Raw genomic sequence first — 24,077 nt, 5'->3', positions numbered from 1 at the left:
AGGAATAATTTCCCCAGTAGCCCCACAGAGCCCTTTAGCTTCTGTCGAAAATTACCCGGGTATTTTTTCAGGGGGCTCCAATGGAACCTGGAGGGTTTTCTTGACTTTTGTATGGGTGTCCCCAGATTTGTTTGGGCTGCATGAAACAGCAGTTGTTATCTCTGTCCCTTCCCCCAGCAGATATCTGTCCTGAGGCCAGTGGGCTTGAGCGTCCTCCTCTGTGTCCAGTCTCCCTGGTTTTGCCAGTGCCCTCAGCCTTCCATCATGGGGCTTTCTTGAAGCAACTGTGGTTTTGCCTGAGTTTAATGTGGATAGACATAGGGGTAATTCCCAGTGTACTGCTTTTCTACGGAAGTATAATCTCCTACTGCCTTAATTAAGCAGAGGCCCTGTCCCCACCCAACCTCCAACCTAATTCCACAGAGTCCTCCCTAAGGACTCCCTCTTTTTTCTTTGAAGGAGTCACTCTACTCCTGGATCCTCTTCTCTTCTGCCCCTCTATCCGACAGTCTGTCTTCCTTGTTCCCAGTTGGCAGACCTGAGTCAGGCAATCCCACTGGGTCTTTTTGTTTAGCCTGGGGAAGAGAAGACCCAGGAGAATATCACCAGCTTCAGATATCTGAAGGAAGAGGGACTGAGTCTTTTTTTATTGGTGTGGTACCTGGCAAAACTTGGATAAATGAAAAGAAGTTAACAGTTGGTAGAGCTTAAATTATGTGCAGAGAAGACATTTCTAACAGATTTACTCTGTCCTAGATTTAGGAGCTCCTCAGGGTGGAGGCCACATCTTGTCCATGCTTGTTTCCTCAGCACTGAGCAGAGGCCTTGGGCATAGCAGATACCTAATTGAAGAGAAACCCACTAAATTTCTGAAGAAACAGACCCTTGTCAAGCCAGAATAACAATAATGGGAGTGGCTATTTACCTAATAATTCATTCGTTGAGTCAAACAATGTTTATTGAGCTCCTACTGTGTACCATACTGGGAGTATGGCAGTAAACAAAAGTAAGCAAAACTAAGTTTCTGTCCTCATGGAGCTCACATTCCAATGAGGAGTGACAGGCAATAAATATATAATTACATGTTTATATCAGATGATTGTACATGCTATGAAGAAAATAAAGCAGGTTGGGGCATAGGGCATGTCTAGCAAGGGAGGGTGGGGCTGCAGTTTTAAAAGAGTGATCAAAGAAGGTGTAAGGGAGAAAAAAATGGCTTTCCTCTACCCTTCTAGGTCCTTTGGCTGGGCTGAGAATTAAATTGACATAGACAGATTAACTGGAGGAAAAATAATTAATTACATAGTTGTACACAGGAATCCTACAAAATATGAGGCTCAAAGAAGGGTCAGATAATTGAAGCTTATATAGCATCCTGAGCTACAGAAAAGAATATGGGGCTTGGGACTTCTGTTAGGGGCTTGAGTGGCAGCAACCCAAGTTATGGCAGGGTGAGGGAAAGAATTGGTGGTGGCGTGTGTCTGTGGTCCCAGATACTGTTGAGGGGGTGTACTGAGGTGGGAGGATCACTTGAGCCTGGGAGGTGGAGGTTGCAGTGAGCCGAGATCAAGCCACTGCGCTCCAACCTGGGTGACAGAGCAAGACCCTGTCTCAAAAAATAAAAATAAAAAGTCTCTCTGGTAATAAAATTTGTCTGGAGCAGCCCTCTTCCTAATACAGATACCTTTACTAGTGTAGATTTCCTTTTTAGATGTGAATTTCTTTTACAAAAGGACAGCTTTTCAGAGCTACTCTTATGTCTGCAGTTTCTCAGAATAACCAGTTCAAAATATGCCAAAGAAGTATATTTTTGGGGTGGCATATTGTTTTCCTACAGTCATATTTTGGGATGGTATGTCCTGAGTCCCAACAAAAGTATTACCTAAATTTATTTGAGCCAAGCGCTAAATGAGGTAAGGAGGTGGATGATGTAGGTACCCTACAGCAAAGGGTGTTTAAAGCAGAGGGAATGGACTCAGGAGGGAGCATGCTTGACATTTTCAAGGATGAGCAAGAAGGTCAATGTGGCTGGAGAAGAAACAGCAAAGGGGAAAAGGGTAGAAGGTGGGGAGGGAATGGTTGAGGAGGAGGATGGAGAAGTAGGTGGGGGCCAGATCGCATACAGCATTACAGACCATGATGAGGATTTGGCTTTGGTGGAATGGTCTGTATTCCTTTTTTTTTTTTTTTTGAGACAGAGTCTTTCTCTGTCTCCCAGACTGGAGTGCAGTGGCACGATCTCTGCTCACTGCAAGCTGCACCTCCTGGGTTCACGCCATTCTCCTGCCTCAGCCTCCCAAGTAGCTGGGACTGCAGGTGCCCGCCACCACACCCGGCTAATTTTTGGTATTTTTAGTAGACGGGGTTTCACCATGTTAGTCAGGATGGTCTCGATCTCCTGACCTCGTGATCCGCCCGCCTCAGCCTCCTAAAGTGCTGGAATTACAGGCGTGAGCCACCGTGCCAGGCCTGGTCTGTATTCTTAAGGGTGGCAACAGGGAGCCCAGTGAAGAGGCTGGTGCAATTGCCAGGTGAAAAAGAATAGTGGCTTGGACCTAGAGGTGGAGGTGTAGTGAGACGGGGACTGGAGAATAAGACCAGGCTTGCACATGGTATATTGATGGGTCCAGCCATCCTGGAAACCATATTTTTCAACTACTTGGAGGTCCTAGAATCAAAGTTAAGTAAGATAGATGTTCTTTGGGAATAGTTCTCTCCAAATGTGATATTCTGATGAATGGTCCTCTTCCACTCCAACAGTATTTCTGTCTGAGTAAATGAAATTTGTCTGAGTTCAGTTCCCAACTCATCCGTGTCTACCTATGCAAGCTCCTTTTACCTCTCTGAATCTTGGGACAAATAATAATACCTGCCTCACAGGGGGCGATGGTAAAGACACAGTGAGGTATACCTGAGATGCATAAAGACTGGAGCCATGTTGGTATCATTATTCTTATTATCTTTCCACAGAACGCATGTCAGAGACCCATTCACGGAATCTTGAGCATCCACTCTCCTTTTTCTAAATACCATAGTGACCCATCAGCACATCTCAGAGCAGGCCCTTGCAGCATTTCTGTTGTAGTAGGAGCTCCACAGTGTTTGTGTGCAATGGTGGTGTAAGCACTGGTCTTGGAGTTGGAATCCCAGTTCTACTCTCAGTCTCACCTTGGCCAAGTCACTTCACCCCCAGTCCCCAGTTTCCCTTTATGCAAGATGGAGGGTTTGAAGTAGGCAATAAAGGAATGCTGGTTCTCTCTATCCTTAGGCCTTGTGGCGGATTCCACCATTACAGCATATTTCACATTAGTTATATTTTAAAATGGCTCTCTCCTGTTGACAGATATGTCAGCACCTTAACTAAACCCAGTGTCAAGGCAGGCTAGTTTATCACTGAGCCCACAATAGTGCTACCCTATATTTATGTAACACCTTACAGCTTCCAAAGCACTTTCAGATCCACCTTGCCTTTTTGATCCTTATAACCACCCAGAGAGGTGAGCAGGAAGGATGACATCTCCGTTTCAAAGGAGAGAAATCAGGTGAGAAAGATGAATTGACTTGCCCAAGGTTACATCAGGAGGAAGAGGCAGTTTTTGGACTTTCAAATTGGAACTTGACTACTAGCTTGCTGTGTGACCTTGGGCAAGTCTTTTAACTTGTAAATGGCTATAGTAATGCCACCTTTTTCTGAAGATTGGGTGAATTAATTCATTCTTTTAAGGCTTTCATATCATCCTAGGGCTCTTCACTCACATCATCTGGCTTCTCTTTTTTTACATATTGATTTTTGAAATTGTGGTTTTGTATAAAGAAACTGCCTTTGGGACCGTCTGCTATTTGGTTTCATCCCTGATGAGACTCTCGGGCCAAGCTTGAGCCTTACAGTGAACTCTGAGCCACACAGCTTTTTGGGCAGCCTCCAGTGCTCCCCTCGGAACTGGAGGTTTTTCTCCAGCTCTTCAGGAAATGCCATTGCGATGACTTCCATGGACTGCTTCCTGTCCCAGCCCTGCCGGCAAGAGTGTGGAAACTGGAAAGCAATGTCCCTAGAGGTCCGCCCCCCAAAAACTACTTTTTTTGGACGTGTCCCTGCCTTTCCTCTTGTCCATTACTTTCTTTGCTCCCTACCCTTTCCTCCTTCACCTGGCTTCTGCCTCCAGCTGTGATCATCCCTTCAAGATTTAGAAAATGCCTTTCTACTTGGTTCTGCCAGGCCATTACCCCCTACCCTAGGCTAGGCTGTGAGGGAGGTCAGTTAGAATTCCTGGGTTCTCTCCTTGGCTCCATCACGCATTAGCAGTTTCAGTCCTGGACTTCCCCTGGAGATGCATTAAACCTGTTGCTTGCGGTGCCCTGTGTCATCCATTAACCCTGAGTTCCCCTAGGAGATTCCACCCCACCCCTGCATAGGATGGGATTCTTAAGAGATAACTTGAGGTTTGGCACATATAAATCCTGCCTCTTGGAAATTGATGATAAAGGGTGGAGTGAAACAGAGCCTGCCTTCCCCTCCCCCAGTCACCTTTGAGGAGGAAGCTAGAAGGTTGAAAACCTTGTTGGACAATCATCTGAGGAATGGGAGCTGGCCTGGGAGGGGATTGGAACGCACTCAACTATGCCTCAGATCCTTTGTTCCTCTCTTGAAAGGGAAACATTCCCCTCCCTCCTCCCTGGCCACACACACATACACACGTGCCTTTGTTCCCCCGAGTCAGGCAGGGATAGGAACATAGTGTCCCTTCCAAGGAGCCTGACTCGCTTCCCTAGAGACTGGCCTCCTGGTCAGTGGGACTGGGATATTTGCTCAGGAGCCCCCAGCCTCGTGTCCTTTCCATAGAGTCTTCGAGGCTAAAAACTTGCCTACAAACAGCTGCTGAGACTTCTCTGTAATTATTTCATGGGACACCCATGTCCCAGGATAAACAGTCCCTCCCTCTTACTCCAGTTGGTGATTAATATTATTGTTAACATTACTATTAATAGTATCTAACACTTATTGAGTGCTTACTCTATGCCAGCCATTGTTCAAAGTGCTTTACATGTATTAATAGATTTCATTCTCACAGCAGCACTCTGAAGTAGGTTCTTTTATCCCTGTTTCACACATGAGGAAACTGAGGTACAGAGAGGTTAAGCAATTTATGCAAAGTAGCACAGTTAGTAAGAGGCAAAGCCTGGGAGGGTAGCTTCCAACCTCCCCCTTTTAAACGCTCCACTGTGTTCCCTCGTCCAGTGCGCTATTGTCTAGGTGACTGCTGGCATTAATCCAGTGCTCACTATGTGACAGCCTTTAGTGACGCTGTTTTTGTTACTATCCCAACAACCTTATCGTTATAGGCACTGAGATTTGGGAGGGCTTATAGTTAGCCAGAGGCAGAGTCAGCATTTGAAACCAGGTCTCTCTTACTCTGAAGCCTGTCCTTTTTATCTCCAGTCCTTAAAAATCTTGCAAAGTAGGTGTTGTTACCTTCATTTTATGGTTGAGAAAATTGAGGCTCAGAGAAAAGTGATATACCCAGAGCTTCACAGGCTAGTACCAAGAAGAGCTGGGATTCACACTCTACTGTCTTAGTAGTCTGTATTGTCATGATTATTCTTTTTATGTGCATGATAATACTTTCAATTTACCAAACTCCTTTTATAAGTTATTTCCCAGTGAAGTAGGAGAGGTGGGTATGTTCAGCCCTGTTTCCAGAGGGGAAACTAAGATAAGGGGTCTTGTCCCACAGTAAATGGCAGCATCAGACTTAGAATTCATGTTCTGGCTTTTAACACAGTATTATCAATACTGTCTGCCTCTCCTAAAGCTGGATGTGTGGCTTGGAGCTGTCCTTGGAGTTTCATTTCTTTTGTTAAATCAGCAAATATTGACAAATGCTTTGTAATGTGCTAAATGCTAGTGATACTGTGGATATTGTGGTAACTGAGACTGAGTCCCATCCCTCAATGGTCTGTTTCCATACTCCACACCTTGGGTCTTGCTGGTGTCCCTCTGCCATCTGAATCAGTCTACATGTGCCATCCATCCTTCTCCTCAGCTGCCAGACACACCAGGCAAGATTCATTATAGTTGATATGTATTAATCACCTTCAACACATACACAGACAAAACTCTGGCCTCACATTTGAGACAGCTTGACTCCTTGCTGGTGGCATAACACAAAGCAAATCAGCTTCAAATTCTCATCCATAAGCCTGAGAGAATAATGCCAAGCCACCAGAGTAAGTGAGGCATGAATGAGAAAGTGAAATGTAAGTGTGTTTTTTGGTAATAATAACAGATACTATGGGTTGAGTAGTTACTTGCTCTGTGCCAGGTGCTGTGTTTATCCCCTCAATATAATCATCTTACTTGGTTCTCACAAATGCTCTCCTGTGAAGATGGAGAATCTAGGGTTCAGAGAGGCTCCCTAATGTGTCCACAGTAACAGATCTTCTAAGAGGCAGAGCTGGGTCTTATACTCAGATGTGTCTGATGCAAAAGCCTATAAGCGTCATTGCTTCTTACAAGCCCAGACTGGCTTATTTTACCCTGACTACCTGGCTCAGGGCCCGCGGTTGGGTGAGGACTCAGCCAGGGCCTGCTCAATGAACATGAAGGGTTATTATTAGATACAGGTTAGGCTACAAAAAAAGTTTCTGCCCCTAAGGAAGCAAACTCATTTGAAGCAGTAGGAATAGACCTCAAACACTTGGTGAATGGCTTGAGGCAAACTGTGCCAAACCTGTAGAGTAAACACCAAAAGTGGAAGAAGTTGAGCCCACCTGACTGCATTGCTGGGCCCTGGGCCTCTGCCAAATGGGCCAGCTTCCACCATCAGCTACCCAGTTGATTACTGGGCCCAGAGGCCTCCACCCTCAGCCTGTATCATCAACCTGCACCCTTTCCCTAGCCAACTGCATTGCCAATCCAGACTGTCTTCTGCATCAACAGTGGAAAGGGTTAGGAAGGAGAGAGGTCACTGACAGCTTAAATAATCATAGCTTTCTCAGCACCGTAGCTTTGTACAATTTCCACTGAGGCCTCAGTTTCCCGGTCTGTAAATGGAGATAATACTAATCTCTTAATGAAGATGATAGTAATCTCTTCCTTATAGGCTTGCTGTTTTTCCTCTGCCTGTATCACTCATCCTATGGATCTGATCAGGGCTCTCTCTCTTCTTATCATTCAGGTATCAACTCAGATATCACCTCCCTAGAGGTCGCCATGTTTACATGTTTACCATCTGTCTCCTGTAGTAAAACATAAGCTCTCGGAGTACACGGGCTTTATCCTGTCTTTCATCCCCAGCATCTAGCAGAGTGCTTGGTACATAGGAGGCACTTAGCAAATATTTGTTGAATAAGTGACTGTGTAGACCACCTCACACGGTGTCTGATATACTCAGTCAATGTTAGGCATTGTTATGTCTTAGGAAGATGTGGACCATGATGGGTTTAAATAGGTGAAAAGAATGTAACAAGAGCAGGCTGTGGCTGGGCGTGGTGGCTCACACCTGTAACCTCAGCACTTTGGGAGACTGAGGCAGGTGGATCACTTGAGATCAGGAGTTCGAGGCTGGCCTGGCCAATATGACAAAACCTTGTCTCTTCTTTTTTTTTTTTTTTTTTTTTTTTTTGAGATGGAGTCTTGCTCTTGCTCAGTTGCCCAGGCTGGAGTGCAGTGGCACGATCTCGGCTCACTGCAAGCTCCGCCTCCCAGGTTGACGCCATTCTCCTGCCTCAGCCTCCCGGGTAGCTGGGACTACAGGTGCCCGCCACCAGGCCCGGCTAATTTTTTTTGTATTTTTAGTAGAGACGGGGTTTCACCGTGTTAGCCAGGATGGTCTCGATCTCCTGACCTCGTGATCCACCCGCCTCAGCCTCCCAAAGCACTGGGATTACAGGCATGAGCCACCGCACCCGGCTCGTCTCTTCTAAAAATACAAAAATTAGCAGGGTGTGGTGGCGGGCGCCTGTAATCCCAGCTACTTGGGAGGCTGAGTCAGGAGAATCACTTGAGGCCGGGAAATGGAGGTTGCAGTGAGCTGAAATCATGCCATTGCACTCCAGCTTGGGCGACAGAGGGAGACTCTGCCACACACACACACACCAAAAAGATCAGGCTAGTTACACACGCGTGCACGCGCGCACACACACACACGAGCAGGCCAGACGGGTAAGAACCACCCAGACAGAACTGGAGGGTGGAGTATGTATGAAGCATTTGAGAGATCATGAGGAGGCAGACTGGCTAGAGCCAAAGATGGTCTGTGTCAGCAATAAAGTTGGTCAGGGAAGAAACCAGGTGGCTGATGACAGAGGCCTCTGGACAGAGGGATGGTTGATGGTAGAGGTGGGCCTAATGGGGAGAGGCCCAGAGCACCTGTGGGATGCAGTTAGGTCTCAGTAACCCCTAAGAAAAAGAATCTCTTGCCAGCCAGGGCTCAGCAGGCAGAGCTGCAGGGAGAGAAAAGCCAGAGGCACCTGCAACCTGCAGATCAGGTAAGCTGCCCTGGTTGTTATTTTGGGACTCAGGGCCAGGTGCAGATTCAAAGGATTGATTGAAGCCTTTTGGCAACTCTGGCCTCAGCAGGGTAAACATCACCTGTCTCCTGCCACCTGCAGTGACAATGCCAGGAAGGGTACCCTAGGTAGGCCCAAAGGGGCCTAACTTTCTTGCTGCCCTGGTGGAGCAAGAAATATCTTCTAGGAGAGGCCAATCCTTCCCTGCCCCACAGCTCCTTCTCTGCAAAGCTCAGGTGGCAATCAGGTACCTCCTGCCCAAGAGGCCCCCATGGTTCTGGCCTAAGGAAGGCAGGGCGGGGCATTGGGAGCCGTTGACAGCTGGGCTCAGCTGGGGGGAGGGGTCAGTTTGGGAGCAGGTGCAGATTTCAGGGAGGGTGGGGCCTAAAGGGAAGTAGGGATCTTGGTAGGCTGCAAAATTTTCCTCCCCATCCCCCAGCCACAGCTGGCTTCTCCAGGAACCTGATGACCTAGTTACAATGCTTAGAAATTGTCAGCTTAGCTTGCAGTTCAGGGCTTTGCCAGTCTCTCCTCTCTGAGGCTTCTTGGGTCCAAAAGGTACCTTGGCATTTCCCCAAGGGGGTTCCATGTGAATGACATACACTGTATCACATGTACAGGCTTCTTGCCCAGGGGAGGAAAGAGCCAGTAAGGCTGCTGCTTCTTCCCTTGTGTGTGCCCCCCAACCCCAGGGAGAAAATACTCCCATGCCCTTGCCCCCTTCTGTTTCTCTCTAGAGGGTTGGTGAGTGACAAATGGGAAGTCACAAACTTCTTCCCTTGAGGGTCAACAAAGAGGGCCAGACCCTTGTTGCCCTAAGGATAGATTGAGCACACCTAACCATTCTTTCCTTACCTCCCCATCTCAGTGTGATGTTAAAACCTGATGGAAAGAGGTTAGGAAGACTCTTCTGGGGGCTCTGGAGGCCCCCCACTCTCTCAGGCAGCAGCTGCTCCTGGTATTCCTGGTGTCTGCCTTGCCTCCTTGGGAGAAATTCCATCGTTGTTAAGAGTCAGGTACGAAATTTGACAAACCGTTGTTGAGTTGGTGAGTCTCACTTGCTTAATAGTTATCCTTGGCAAATACTTAATCTTTCCCAGCCTTAGTTTCCTCATGTATGGAAAAGAGGTAACAATATACAGTGCTTTTCTTTTTTCCTTTTTTTTTTTTTTTTTTGAGACAGAGTTTCGCTCTTGTTGCCCAGGCTGGAGTGCAATGGTGCCACCTCGGCTCACCACAACCTTCGCCTCCCAGGTTCAAGTGATTCTCCTGCCTCAGCCTCCCGAGTAGCTGGGATTACAGGCATGCGCCACCACGCCCAGCTAATTTTGTTTTTTTAGTAGAGACGGGGTTTCTCCATGTTGATCAGGCTGGTCTCGAACTCCTGACCTCAGGTGATCTGTCCGCCTCAGCCTCCCAAACTGCTAGGATTACAGGTGTGAGCCACCATGCCCGGCCTACAGCGCTTTTCTTGAAACACTCTTGAGAGCATGAAAATAGTTGAAAAGATACATGGAGCACTTACCAAGGAGCCCAGCATATAGTAATTACTTAGTATAACAAGCTACTATTATTACTGTTATTGTCACATTGCAATCACTGGTAAACAAATTGTTGTCATTGCTATTGGATCTACTCTCCAGGAGTGAACTTTCAGGCTGACAGAATATGTGGATATCTTTGGACCAAGAGTTTAGAGATTTTAAGGTACCTGAAGCTTGGGGCCTTGGCTCACAACCTTGTCCCCTACCTCCTCTACAAGGCCCAAGTCATACCTTGTACACAGTAGAGGTTTGGCCAGTGTTGTTGACTAGGCGTTTGGCAATGGGGCATATTTTGTTTTATCTTCCCAGGGTCCTCCTTGTTTGTTGACTGAGTGGAAGACTTAATGAGTTAAGTATTTAAAGTGGGTAGGAGCATGCCTGGCACACAGTAGGTGCTTGACATGGGTTTGAATGATTAAACATGGCATTGTGGGAACTCTGGAGTTTTTCCAGGATGGCCCCACTCACTCCTTGTTTGCTCTGTGGCCTCAAGCCTCTTGCCCAAGCTCTGCCTGTTGCCTCATATGTTGAAGAAAGATAACACCCGCCTTGCCTCCCTCATGGGCTAGCAGGGAGGCCCAAAGAGATGATAGATGAAAAAGCACTTTGAGAACTATAAATATTTGGTCTTGTTGCTACTCCTTGACTAAAGTCACAGCCATAGCTGTGTCATTCATTCATTCATTCAGTCAACAAGCATTTTTTGAGTAGAAGCAATATCTTATCACTTAACTGGCTTCATGAATTTGGACAAGTTACTTCCCTCTGTAAACCTGAAGATCTATAAAGTGGAAGTAATACTCATTTCAGAGGGTTGTTGGGAGAAAGACTAAACGAGGTGCTCTGAGCTTACTGAGGATAAAAACTATGTCTTATTCACTCTTAACAGCTACTGCTGGGCCTAGTACTTGGTGGCTGAGTGTTTAGTGACTGGATTAACAAACATTCCTAATAATTAATGGTACATGTAAAGTGCACTTACACATTGCCTAGTGCAGAGTAAAAGCTCAGCAAATGCTGAGTCTTTCCCTTTTCTCTATGAGGCTTGAGGTGCCTTGATTTAGCCATGGGTTGCCTTCTGCAGTCAAAGTACCAGGCAAGGCCAGACTCTGAATATGACTCAGATGGGAAGTAGAAGTGAGTATTAATGCCTGGCTCCAGGTTGTCCTTACCTGCCTACGCTGGACTTCAGTGCGGGAGTTCTGAACTATCGAGGATCAGTGCTGCTTAAACATAAAATCCAGTGTACTATGGTTCTCACCCCATGCTTATCTCTGATCCAGAACAACTGCCTCTTGTTCTACCCACTCTCCATCTGCTACTCAGAAGAATTTCCCCTTGCTCACAGCACCCATGTTCAGTTGGAGCCCTAGGGGTTACCATGTCAGGGAAGTCCCAGGGAGTCACTCAGAAATAGCCTTTGGGGCAAGGTCCAGAGAAGGAGCCCAATTCTAAGGCTCAGTGTCTCCTGGGACTGGGTCAAGCAGCAGGTGCATACATGAGACCCAGGGCTGGTGGCTGAGTGATGAAACTGAGAGATGTGTAGGGCCAGACAAGAAGTCAACCTAGAGGAAACTGCCTGCTTGTTCATGCAGGTGTTTGGACACCTGGGGGAACTTTCTGGGTCTGATTTAGTGGTGCTAGTGTAGGTTCCATATTAGTATCCCAAGCCCCAGTGAGGGAAACCTTTGGGACTCCCAAGCAAAGCCTGTAGTTGGCACCCAGCACCTTTAAACCCTTCTCAGATCCCTTTAGGGTGAAAGAGAGGCCCCCTCCTCTGGGTTCTACAGCATCTACAGCTGGAAACTCCAGGGACAATGACATAATAACCATAGCTCCCTTTATAAAGTCTCTGCTGTGTGTTAGGCACTGTGCTGGGGCTCTTTATGAAAAGGGGATCATTTTGTTAATTGGAAGTATGGGCTCTGGAATCAGACAGAGTTGAGTTTGAATCTGGTCTCTATTACATATCAGCTGTTAGATTTTGGGTGCATTCCTTTCCATTTCTGAGCCTCAGTCCCCCTATCTGAAAAATGGGGATAATAATAATACTTCATAGGGTTTTTGTAAGGATTTAAGAGCCTTTTGTAAGAATGTATGTAAGATCATATGGTGCAGGTATTAAGGTAATTTTAGTAATATTTAACAATGAGCACTTGCACTTAAGTGTTTTATATGAGATAGTTCATTGAATTCTCAAAATAGTACCACTCAGGTAGGTTCTCTTATTATTCCTATAGAGAAGTTAAGAAAGTTGTTCAAAGATGCACAGCGAGTAAGTGGTAAAACCATGATTTGAACCCAGGTAGTCTGGCTCCAAAGCCAACTTGTCCTACCTGGATAAGGAAGGCCCTAGTAAATGTTGCTGTTATAACTATTGTATCCAGCATTGTAGTTGTCTGTAGTTTTTGGTCTATCCACTGAATTCTGAGCTCAGTGAAGACTAGAAACCCATTTAATCACCTTGCACCCCCAGAGACCAACATAATACTCATAAAACTCATTAATATTTGCTTAATGGCTGAGAATATTCTCTTTCTTTAGTAATCAATCAGTAACTCTTTATCGACCAGTTCCTGTAGGCTAGCTTTGAACTAAATCCTAGGAGGAATGCAAAGTACAGCTATGCCTGTGTAAACGGAAGATTGGGTGTGTGCGTTGGGGGGGTGCATTCCAGAGAGCACTGTGTCATTGGCAGAAACTTCCACACAGGAGGCAGAAACAATACAGGTGGTTTGAGGATGTTTTCCAAGATGGGATTCCCACCCCTCCCTGAGGGAGTCACTTCCTCCATCTCCTGCAGAACAAGGTGACACAGATTCCCTACTCCGGCCAAGGGCAAGGAACCACTCTAAGCTCTTCAGTCACTCTAATCCAGAAACTGTGTCTTTATGGCTCAGGCAACCAGTTCATGGCAGCCTAGAATGACAGGGAAAAAGCTGGGAAGGGACCTTAGAAAATCACTCTTGCCCAATACTCCAGCCAAAGTGGTCTTTTAAAAACCAAGTTCAGGCTGGGCGCGGTGGCTCATGCCTGTAATCTCAGCACTTTGGGAGGCCGAGGTGGGTGGATCATCAGGTCGGGAGTTCAAGACCAGCCTGGCTAAGGTGGTGGAAACCCCGTCTCTGCTAAAAATACAAAAATTAGCCGGGTGTGGTGCACGCCTGTAATCCCAGCTACTCAGGAGGCTGAGGCAGAAGAATCGCTTGAACCTGGGAGGCATAGGTTGCAGTGAGCTGAGATCGCGCCACTGCACTCCAGCCTAGGTGACAGGGAGAGACTCCGTCTCAAAAAAAAAAAAAAAAAGGTTTAGGGCCGGGTGCAGTGGCTCATGCCTGTAATCCCAGCACTTTGGGAGGCCAAGCCGAGTGGATCAACTAAGGTCAGGAGTTCGATACCAGCCTGACCAATATGGCGAAACCCCGTCTCTACTAAAATTACAAAAATTAGCCAGGTGTGGTGGCGTGGGCCTATAGTCCCGGCTACTTGGGAGGCTGAGGCAGGAGAATCGCTTGAACCTGGGAGGCAGAGGTTGCAATGAGCCAAGATCGCACCACTGCACTCCAGCCTGGGTGACAGAGCAATACTCGTCTCAAAAAAAAAAAAAAAACAAGTTCAGGGCTGGGCTCAGTGGCTCATGCCTATAATCCCAGCACTTTGGGAGGCCAAGACAGGCGAATCACCTGAGATCAGGAGTTCCAGACCAGCCTGGCCAACACAGTGAAACCCCATCTCTACTGAAAATAAAAAAATTAGCCGGGTGTGGTGGTGCATGACTGTATTCTCAGCTACTCGGGAGGCTGAGGCAGGAGAATCACTTGAACCCAGGAGGCGGAGGTTGCAGTGAGCCGAGATTGCACCACTGCACGCCAGCCTGGGCAACAGAGTGAGACTCTTGTCTCAAAAAAAAAAAAAAACAACCACCAAGTTTAGGCCAGGCATGGTGGCTCACACCTGTAATCCCAGCATTTTGGGAGGCCAAAGCAGGTGGATCACCTGAGGTCAGGAGTTCGAGACCAGCCTGGCCAACATGATGCAACCCCGTCTCTACTAAAAATACAAAAAATTAGCCAGGAGCAGTGGCTCACATCTGTAATCCCAGCACATTGGGACACCAAGGCGGGTGATCACCTGAGGTAATGAGTTCGAGACCAGCCTGACCAACGTGGTAAAACCCCATCTCTACTAAAAATACAAAATTAGCCGGGCATGGTGGCTCATGCCTGTGATGCCAGCTACCTGGGAGGCTGAGGCAGGAGAATCACTTGAACCCAGGAGGTGGAGGTTGCAGTGAGCCAAGATTGCACCATTGCACTCCAGCCTGGGCAACAAGAGCAAAACTCTGTCTCAAAAAATTTAATAAAATAAAAACCAAGTTCAGATCTTATTGCATTTTTGTTTACAACCCTCCAAGTGGTCTTCCACTGTAGTTAGAATAAAACCCAGACTTTTTTTTTTTTTTTTGAGATGGAGTCTTGCCCTGTCGCCCAGGCTGGAGTGCAGTAAGTGTCATTTCGGCTCACTGCAACCTCCGCCTCCCGGGTTCAAGCGGTTCTCCTGCCTCAAACTCCTGAGTAGCTGGGATTAAAGGTGCCCACTGGCCGGGCACGATGGCTCACCCCTGTAATCCCAGCACTTTGGGAGGCTGAGGCGGGTGGATCACCTGAGGTTGGGGGTTCGAGACCAGCCTGACCAACATGGAGAAACCCGTCTCTACTAAAAATACAAAATTAGCCAGGCTTGGTGGCACATGCCTGTAATCTCAGCTACTCAGGAGGCTGAGGCAGGAGAATCACTTGAACCTGGGAGGCGGAGGTTGTGTTGAGCCAAGATCGCACCATTGCACTCCACCCTGGGCAACAAGAGCAAAACTCCATCTCAAAAAATAAAAATAAAAAAATAAAGGCACCTGCCATCACGCCCAGCTAATTTTTGTATTTTTAGTAGAGATGGGGTTTCACCATGATGTCCAGGCTGGTCTCGAACTCCTGACCTCGTGATCTGCCCACCTCAGCCTCCCAAAGTGCTGGGATTACAGGTGTGATCCACTGCACCCAGCAAAACCCAGACTTCTTACCAACCTCTGAGGCCTGTGTGATCTGGTCCTGGCTGCCCCTCCATCATTCTGTCTCTCCCTTACTCCACTCAAGCCGCATGGGTTCCTTGCTGCTTCTGGATCCTGGCATAACTTCTTCCTGCCCAAGGGCCTTTGTAGTTGCTCTTTTCTCTGCCTGAAATGTTCTGCCCCTAGTATTTCCTTTCTGAGGCCTACATTTGGTTCAGCTTGCTGGTCACCTCCTCTGAGAGACTTTCCTTGACCTTCAGTTTAAAGTAGCCATGCTATTTCTAAATCCCTCTCCAGTCTTCTTGTAGTTTTGTCATAGCAACAGCCTCTACCTGGAATTTTCTTTTTGTTTGTGTACTTGTTTTTGTCTGTCTCTTCTATTAGAATATAAGCCCCATGATTATAGGGCGTTTGGTTTGTTCATCATTGTATCTCCAGTGTCTGCAGCTGTTCTTTGCAGGTAGTAAACATTCAGTGAATACTTTTTGAATAAATTATTAAACAAATGAACAAAACCTAAGACATGAAAAAACTGAGGCCCAGAGAAGAGAAGCTAATGAGAATTAATAGTGTTCTTTCATCCTACTTTTGAATGCTCATTAAGTGCCAAGCACTGTATTCAGTGATTTACATGCATTATTTTTGCCACTTATTCTTAATTGTTATAATGAGTTGTTTGGAACATCATTTTTTATATATACCACTGTACCACTTAAAAGAAAACTGGACCAATCTTATTTTTTATTGGAACCTTGCTCTGTTTTACAAAGAGTTGGAAGCAACTTAGGAAAATTCATACAACCAAAAGGATAATGTAGCTAAGGGAGTCGGGTGAAAGGAAAATATGGGTAAGAAGACGAGCCAAAAGTAAAATTAGTTCACACAAATGTATGTTACAAAAGTCCTTTGAACTGAGCAGTTTTTATGCCATTCTTTATAACTAAATATTGCCCAGATTCATTTAAAATGATGGTTTTTTAAAAATCTAACTACAGGCCGGGCGTGGTGGCTCACGCCTGTAATCCCAGCACTTTGGGAGGGCAAGGTGGGCAGATCATGAGGTCAGGAGATCAAGACCGTCTTGGCCAACATGGTGAAACCCTGTCTCTGCTAAAATACAAAAAATTAGCCAGGTGTGGTGGCGCGTGCCTGTAATCCCAGCTACTCAGGAGGCTGAGGCAGGAGAATCGCTTGAACCCAGGAGGCGGAGGTTGCAGTGAGCTGAGATCACACCACTGCACTCCGGCCTGGCGACAGAGCAAGACTCCGTCTCCAAAAAAAAAAAATCTAATTACATAGATGACCTTGGGATTGTCCCAGACTGCACCTAATAGTCTAGGATTTGCTGGCTCCCTTCCTGCCTCATCAGCTGGGCTCCTGGATTGAGGCAACACGATCTCCTCTTTTTGCCAAAGGGGCTGGTCCAGCAGGGAGGAGCCTAGACCCCTCTCCAGTCCTCTCTGGACCTAGCTAACTTTGTTTCAAGGAGTCTTTTCTGTAGAAGGTTTATTAATTGAGATATTGCCATTGGAAACCCAGTTCTGCTCTCAAGATACTTCCAGTTGAATTAGAGAGAAAAGACATAATATACATGAAAGGAGATCTTGTAAAAGCCAACAATAAATGCTAAATGCCAAATGAGGGAAGGACTTCACAGAAGAGGTGAGGTTTACACCGAGCCTTACCACAAAGCGGAGAAAAGAGGGGCTGTAGCTCCCAGTAGGAGAGTCAATGTGGGTTAAGATTTGCAGGCTGAGACCAACTCTCAAGAAGAGACCCGTGGGCAGTGGCAGTCAAATTTTAGGCATATGTGGAGGGGTCTCTTTCATTAGGTAATAAAGCCAAAAAGGTCAGCTAGAACCAGGTTTGTAGGATCTTCAAGTGCCAGGGGGAGGATTCCAAGGCCCTCCTTGGCAGCCCTGGTATCCCAATAGATAGGTCGTGCCCAGGGACTAATGCCCATGCTGGCCACTGGTTGGGCTGCTGATTCCCAGGTGGCAATGGCAGCTTCTGAAATGGGAGCCAGAGCCTTCAACTAATAGTGAGGGGAGGAGTTAAGTGTGGGGCCATTGTCAGTTTAGCTTTTGGCCATCCCAGGTGCTATTCATTTGGCGATTCGGCAAATGTTTATTGAGCACCAACTATGTGCCAGGCCCTGTGCTACATGCTGAAGATGCTAAGATAAACAAGATAAGGTCAAGGACATTGCTCTTGTAGAACTCTTACTTTAATGGGAGAGACAGCTAGCCCGAGAAACAAACAAGATTATTTCAGGGATTGGGTTAAATGCTGTACAGAAAATGAAACTGAGTAATGGAATATCTAGGAAGCAACTATATGCATGGGCCAACTCAGTTACTCAGCTTTGACACTGTTGGGTCTAGTTGGTACCTTTGTTTCCTTTTGTGTTATAGATGGAGGTGATCTTTCAAATCTCCTCTGCAGAGATCCAATGGGATAATGGTTGACTACCATTTATTGAGCACCTAGCCCATGTCAGGTACTCTACATGCATTTTCTCATTTAATTCCCTCACCTAGACTGTGTGCTAAATGGTCCATTAGCCCTACTTTCTTTTCCAGTAAAGAAACTAAGGTTTGGATAAGTGAAGTTGCATGCCAGGGTCCTGCAGCTTTACGTGGTGAATCCTGGATTTGGACCTAGATTGGGCTGGCTCTAAAGCCAGGCTTCTTTCCCCTGCTCCACTCTTGGAATAAATGAAGGATTGTTGGTTCAGGATATGCAGAAAGCTGCTTAGCAAAAGGAGAGTTGGAGAAGCATCTTGGTTTGAGGGTCTTGAAGGACACCTACTGTACTCCCAGCTGAGAGGACTCTTTCTCCTCATCTTCAGGAGGATGCCTCCAGAGCCTGGGGTTACTGTAGGCCTTTGCCAGAGGCATGTTCGGACTTAGCCAGCTGAGTATCCCCTGTTTCCTGCTTTTACCATCTCAGCTGCTGGTCAGGAGGTTTGGGAAGGTGACATCATCTAGCTGAATCAGCTGCTGCTTCTAGATACATTACTGGAACTGAAAGTCATTACCCCTTCCTTCCTGCTCTGCAAGTCTCTTCAGAATGAGGCTGGAGTATGGGTGTTCCACCTGTCTGCAGGGTCATGACTGGAATGGTACTTGCTGCTTTTAAAGAGCTAAAAGGTTTTTAAAAGCTTGTTCATGGAAAAAGCTTTCCTCAAGGCTTCTCAAGCTAAGGGAACAGAGCGTCCTTGAGAGGCAGGAGGATTCACAGGAAGGCCCTCCCCGACTCCCTCTTGTCCACCTACATTTAGCCATATGACCCTTCTGATCTCCTTTGCCTAAGTCCGAGGCTTAGGCCTAGCACTGTAGGATGGGTAAACAAAACGTTATTTGTGGACTTTTTGACCTTAAGACTTTTAGAGTCTGGTCAAGGGGACAAAAAAAAACTGCTTACATTTCAGAGCAGACCAGCCACCACACTATTGGAGATATATTGGAGATCTCCCCTTGACTCACTAATTGAAAAGCAAAAAAGGGCAGGTGTGGTGGCTCATGCCTGTAATCTGAGCACTTTAGGAGGCTGAGGCAGGCAGATTGCTTGAGCTTAGGAGTTTGAGACCAGCCTGGGCAACATGGCGAAACTCTGTCTCTACAAAAAAATACAAAAATTAGCCGGGTGTGGTGTTTCGCACCTGTATTCCCAGCTACTCGGGAGGCTGAGATGGGAGAAACACTTGAGTCCAGGAGGTCAAGGTTGCAGTGAGCCATGTTCACACCACTATACCCCAGCCTAGGTGACAAAGCGAGACCGTCTCCAAAAAAAAAAAGAAGGAAAATCGACTGGGTCCAGTAGCTCATGCCTGTAATCCCAAAACTTTGGGAGTCTGAGGTGGGAGGATCACTTGAGCCCAGGAATTCAACATCAGCCTGAGCAGTACAGTGAGACCTCCATCTCTACAAAAAATTTGTCAGGCATGGTGGCACATGCCAATAATCTTGGCTACTCAGGAGGCTAAGGTGGGAGGATCACTTGAGCCTGGGAGTTCATGGCTGCAGTGAGCTATGAACACATCTCACAGAACTCCAACCTGGGCGACAGAGCAAAATCCTGTCTCAGAAAAAAGAGTCATTGGAGGGTTTTGAACCAAGAAATGACAGTCCGACATACATTTTTAAAGGATCACCAGGCTGGGCACGATGGTTCACGCCTGTCATCCCAGCACTTTGGGAGGCCGAGGCAGGCAGATCACTTGAGGTCAGAAGTTTAAGACTAGCCTGGCCAACATGGTGAAACCCCATCTCTACTAAAAATACAAAAATTAGCCAGGCATGATGGCGTGTGCCTATCATCCCAGTTACTCAGGAGGCTGAGGCAGGAAAACTGCTTGAGCCCGGGAGGTGGAGATTGCAGTGAGCTGAGATTGTGCCACTGCACTCCAGCCTGGGCAACAAAGCGAGACTCCGTCTCAAAAAAAAAAAAACAGCAACAGCACATGCTGAGGATTCTGTTCAGTGGTTTCCACTTATCAGTATAGCACCTCATTAATCCTCCCAACAGTTTTATGAGGTATGCTCTAGTGGTATCCACATTCTACAGAGAAGAAAACTGAGACTTTGAGAGGTAAAGTCACCTGTTAGGCCGGGCACAGTGGCTCACGCCTGTAATCCCAGCACTTTGGGAGGATGAGGTGGGCAGATCATGAGGTCAGGAGTTTGAGACCATCCTGGCTAACACGGTGAAACCCCGTCTCTACTAAAAATACAAAAAATTAGCCGGGCGTGGTGGCGGGCACCTGCAGTCCCAGCTACTTGGGAGGCTAAGGCAGGAGAATGGCATGAACCCGGGAGGTGGAGGTTGCAGTGAGTCAAGATCGTGCCACTGCACTCCAGCCTGGGTGACAGAGCGAGACTCCGTCTAAAAAAAAAAAAAAGAAAGTCACCTGTTAAAGATTACACAGCAAACTGCCAGCATCCAAAGCCTGTCCTCTTCCCTCTTCCATTTGAATAGGCTCCTTCCAGCCAACATTCATGTATATTCTATCCAGGCTCCAAAGTCCAGTACCAAGCCAGTCTTTTCCAGGAAGCCTTCCCCAAGCTTATCTAATGGCCTGTCCCTCTATTGAGAGCTGATCTACAGAGCTACCATCCATTGAGCACTCCATGGGTGCTAAGTATACTGCTGAATGATTTAAATATGTTATCTCATGTAATATTCCAAGGAGCCATATGCCCTGTGACATCCATTTTACATGTGAAAATAGTGAAGCTAAAATATAGGCACATGCCATCATGCCTAGCTAATTTTTTTTTTTTTTTTTTTTTTGAGATAGAGTCTTGCTCTGTTGCCCAGGCTGGAGTGGCTTGATCTCGGCTCACTGCAGCCTCCGCCTCCTGGATTCAAGTGATTCTCCTGCCTCAGCCTCCCGAGTAGCTGGGATTACAGTCACCCACCACCATGCCCAGCTAATTTTTGTATTTTTGGTAGAGACAGAGTTTGACCACGTTGGCCAGGCTCGTCTCGAACTCCTGACCTCAGATGATCCACCCGCCTCGGCTTCCCAAAGTGCTAGGATTACAGGTGTGAGCCACCACACCCGGCCGACTAGCTTATTTTTAAATTTTTAGTAGAGACAAGGTCTCACTGTGTTGTCCAGACTGGTCTCTAACTCCTGGGCTCAAGCAGTCCTCCCACCTTGACGTCCCAAAGTGCTGCGATTACAGGCGTTAGCCAGCAGTGTCTGGCCTCTAATGACACTTTATTCATGAGAATAAATGCCAAAATGTATACAGTGCATGGGCATATGACTGGGAGACCTTGGTACGCCAGCAGTGGCAAGGACAGTCACCTAGAAGTAAGTGCCCTAGAGTACACCGAACCTGGGTTTCAACTGCCCAGGCTTACTCCTTCTCAAAACCAGCCCTTTTCCAGCTTTGTGTCCCTGTGTGTTTGCATGGGTGCAGGCACAAGTAGATGACACAGTGGTGATGCTATGCACCCAGGACATTTCATAATAGGGAAGGACGTTGACCGCTGCCATGGGGTACCAAAGGTCATCAGGGCTGTGAAAGCCAAGGACACTCAGGCAGCCTTACTCCCCTTTGAGTCTGAGTCATTTCCTGAGGGATATTGGTCATTCATTCATTTGTTCATTAACAAGTATTTATTGCATTCCTGTCATATATCAGGGACTGAGCTAAAGGTTGGACATACAGTCTGAACGAACCAAAGTCCCTATTCTCACCCAGTGGACATTCCAAGGTGGGTGACAGATTTTAAGTAAATTAACATGTCAGGGCTAGGCATGGTGGCTCTCGCCTTTAATTCTAGCACTTTGGGAAGCTGAAGTGGGAGTATTGCTTGAGCCCAGGAGTTCGAGACCAACCTGGGCAACATAGTGACAACCCACCTCTAAAAAATAAATAACATGTGAGGTAGTATTTAGTGATATAGGGAAAAATAAAGCAGAGAAAAGGGATTAGGGATGGGAAAAGGAAGGGTAGGGTAGTTAGGAAGGCCTCTCTGATAAAGTGACATTGGATCTGAATGCAGTGAGGGCATGAGCTGTGCGGATATATGGGGGAATAGTGTTGTAGGCATAGAGAACAGCAAGCCGTAAAACAAAAAAAAGCCAGATGCAGTGGCTCACGCCTATAATCCCAACACTTTGGGAGGCCAAGGCAGGAGGATCACTTGATGCTGAGAGTTTGAGATCAGCCAGAGCGACAAAGCCAGAGTTTAGTTGGGCATAGTGGTGCATGTCTGTAGTCCTAGCTAGCTACTCGGGACACTGAGGCAGGAAGATGGCTTAAATCCAGGAGTTTGAGGCTGCAGTGAGCTATGATCCTGTCCCTCCACTCTAGTCTGGCTGACAGAGCAAGACCTTGTTTCAAAAAAATTAAAAAATAAAGCAAGTACAAAAAAAGACTCTCCAACATATTTAAAGTACAGCAAGTTGGCCAGTATGGCCAGAGTAGAGTAAGCCAGTGGTAGGAATCAGGTCTGAGACGTCACCAGGGGCCAGGTCTTGTAGGGCCACATGGGACCTTGCTTTAAGGGCAGTGGAAAGGCATGGAGGATTTTTAAGCAAAGAAGTGACAGGTTTTAGAAGGATCTCTCTGATGTGGAGAACAAACTCTATGGGTAAGAGCGGGAGCAGGAGACCAGTGAGAAGCCAGGTGGGTGATAACAGCAGTTTATACCAGGGTGGATGGGTGGTGGAAGTGGCGAGCAGTGGTCAGAGCTTCAATACAATTTGAAGGTTGGACCAACTGGATTTGCTGATGTTTGCTGGATAAGAGGTGAGAGAGAAAGGAGTCCAGGTTTTTGGCTTAAGAAACTGGAAAGTCCTTACTGCCATTTAATAAGGGGAAGATGCCTTGGCTGATAGTGATTTCCTGCTAGGGCTGTGGAGTTGAACTGCCTGCATTCAAGTCCTAGTTTGCTTACTGTTTTGTTTTTGTTGTTGTTTTGAGATGAGGTCTCACTATGTTGCCTGTGCTTGTCTCGAACTCCTGGGCTCAAGTGATCCTCCCGCCTCTATCTTCCTGGGATTATAGGTACGCCACCAGGCCCTGCTTACTGTTTGACTTTGAGCAAGTGTTTGACTTTGCCAAGCCTTAGTTTCCTTCAATGTAAGCCTACTGTCTAGATGATAGGCAGTTGGGTGCTGTGAAAACTAAATGAGGGTAATTTGTATGAAGGGCTTAGGACAATGCCTGGCATATGGTAAACCTTCAGTAAGAGTTAGCTCTAATCCTTATTACTATTGTTGGAAGACAAGAAGTCCCAGGGCCTCAAGGTCCTCTGGAAAGCAGGCAGCAGGTCACACTCCACCTCCACCACCCCCTCAAGGAGCCCGCCCTCCAAGAGGCAGCTCAGACACCATCTGTCCAGCAGAGAAAAGCCACAGGGAGACAGCTTTCGGGGAGCATTAGATAGATGAGCCCTTCCCAAGAAACCTAATCTCATTCTCAGCAGGTGCTAATCCCACCACCCTCCCTTGGTATCTGAGCCCAGCCCACCCACTTCCTTCCCCACCCCCATCCTGTGTCCTAGACCCTCTTCCCCTTCTCACCAGCTCCAAGCTGCCACCAGCAAACTTCCTTACCAGATGGAGGGGCTCTGACAGAAGCCCACCACCCATCTGACTGGGCCCAGCCTCTCACATGTATCAGGTCACCAAGGGCTACAGGTGCCACCTGTCCAGAAGCCCCCCCTACAGGTGCCAGTTCCTGGGCGTGGTGCTTGATCCAGGCTGGAGCCAGCTGGAGCCAGGAACTCCCACTGTGCCCCAGCTGCTGCCTGCCCTCCCACCCACAGGCAGAGAAACAGGCTTAACCCTTCGGACACTGCATATGTTGAGTTAGTTGTTACAGTTCTGGCTCAGAGTATTGCACTGTTTCAGTACACTTTTTTTTTTTAAAGAAATTTATCATAAATACAACAGAGAATATCTAATGCATATGTACAATTTTAAAAATAGGAAAATCATCACTTGTAAACTCATCACCCAGATTAATTAATAATCAAACATATGTTTGCCTTGCATGATGGCTTATGCCTGTAATCCCAGCACTTGGGAGGCTGAGGTAGGAGGAATGCTTGAGGCCAGAAGTTTGAGACTAGCCTGGGCAACATAGTGAGACCACCATCTCTACAAAAACTAAAATTAAAAAATAGCTGGGCGTGGTGGTGCACGCCTATAACTCCAGCTACTCAGAAGGTTGAGTCGGGGATCACCTGAGCCCAGGAGTTTAAGGCTGCAGTAAGCTATGATCGCGCCACTGTTCTCCAGTGTGGGCAACAGAGGGAGACCTTGTCTCTAAAAACAAACAAAAATAAACGTGAGTACCTTAGAGCCCCCTGTGTACCCCCTCCCCAATCACAGCTACCCCACCATCCATACTCCTGAGTTCTGTGTTTTCTTTTGTGATATCTTACCATGTCAACCAGGCTAGAGTGCAGTGGCATGATCATACCTCACTTCA

The 24,077-nt window shown here is 47.0% G+C and overlaps 1 protein-coding gene and 1 long non-coding RNA gene across 15 annotated transcripts in view, besides 7 other annotated features; one reads left to right on the top strand and one right to left on the bottom strand.

Moving 5' to 3' along the window:
• Positions 1–24,077, top strand: part of BCL2L1 (BCL2 like 1) — a 59,512-nt gene that overhangs the window by 6,501 nt on the left and 28,934 nt on the right. The gene's annotated exons all lie outside the window — the stretch shown is intronic.
• BCL2L1-AS1 (BCL2L1 antisense RNA 1) overlaps positions 619–24,077 on the bottom strand; it is a 41,737-nt gene continuing 18,278 nt past the window's right edge. For all 4 annotated transcript variants that reach the window (NR_187575.1, NR_187576.1, NR_187574.1 and 1 more), the window contains one exon: positions 619–842. This is a non-coding gene — a long non-coding RNA (BCL2L1 antisense RNA 1). The remainder of the gene's footprint in view (positions 843–24,077) is intronic.
• Positions 3,843–4,137: an enhancer, noted in NCBI's record as "tiled region #251; HepG2 Activating non-DNase unmatched - State 1:Tss". NCBI's record gives its function as "activates a minimal TATA promoter and a strong SV40 promoter by Sharpr-MPRA in HepG2 cells {active_cell/tissue: HepG2}" and the evidence as "EXISTENCE:reporter gene assay evidence [ECO:0000049][PMID:27701403]".
• Positions 4,164–4,691: an enhancer, noted in NCBI's record as "OCT4-NANOG-H3K27ac-H3K4me1 hESC enhancer chr20:30300575-30301102 (GRCh37/hg19 assembly coordinates)". NCBI's record gives its function as "activates a minimal SCP1, AML or CMV promoter by ChIP-STARR-seq in naive and primed H9 embryonic stem cells {active_cell/tissue: H9 hESC(naive and primed)}" and the evidence as "EXISTENCE:reporter gene assay evidence [ECO:0000049][PMID:30033119]".
• Positions 11,249–11,328: an enhancer, noted in NCBI's record as "active region_17693". NCBI's record gives its function as "activates an Ori minimal core promoter by ATAC-STARR-seq in GM12878 lymphoblastoid cells {active_cell/tissue: GM12878}" and the evidence as "EXISTENCE:reporter gene assay evidence [ECO:0000049][PMID:35858748]".
• Positions 11,379–11,478: an enhancer, noted in NCBI's record as "active region_17692". NCBI's record gives its function as "activates an Ori minimal core promoter by ATAC-STARR-seq in GM12878 lymphoblastoid cells {active_cell/tissue: GM12878}" and the evidence as "EXISTENCE:reporter gene assay evidence [ECO:0000049][PMID:35858748]".
• Positions 11,489–11,538: an enhancer, noted in NCBI's record as "active region_17691". NCBI's record gives its function as "activates an Ori minimal core promoter by ATAC-STARR-seq in GM12878 lymphoblastoid cells {active_cell/tissue: GM12878}" and the evidence as "EXISTENCE:reporter gene assay evidence [ECO:0000049][PMID:35858748]".
• Positions 18,029–18,078: an enhancer, noted in NCBI's record as "active region_17690". NCBI's record gives its function as "activates an Ori minimal core promoter by ATAC-STARR-seq in GM12878 lymphoblastoid cells {active_cell/tissue: GM12878}" and the evidence as "EXISTENCE:reporter gene assay evidence [ECO:0000049][PMID:35858748]".
• Positions 18,462–19,409: an enhancer, noted in NCBI's record as "H3K27ac-H3K4me1 hESC enhancer chr20:30285857-30286804 (GRCh37/hg19 assembly coordinates)". NCBI's record gives its function as "activates a minimal SCP1, AML or CMV promoter by ChIP-STARR-seq in naive H9 embryonic stem cells {active_cell/tissue: H9 hESC(naive)}" and the evidence as "EXISTENCE:reporter gene assay evidence [ECO:0000049][PMID:30033119]".

This window comes from Homo sapiens, chromosome 20 (genome assembly GCF_000001405.40).
Source record: "Homo sapiens chromosome 20, GRCh38.p14 Primary Assembly".
Taxonomy (NCBI): Eukaryota; Metazoa; Chordata; class Mammalia; order Primates; family Hominidae; genus Homo; species Homo sapiens.
Note: the sequence above shows the minus strand (reverse complement) of the source record. Positions and strands in the feature narration are given on the sequence as shown.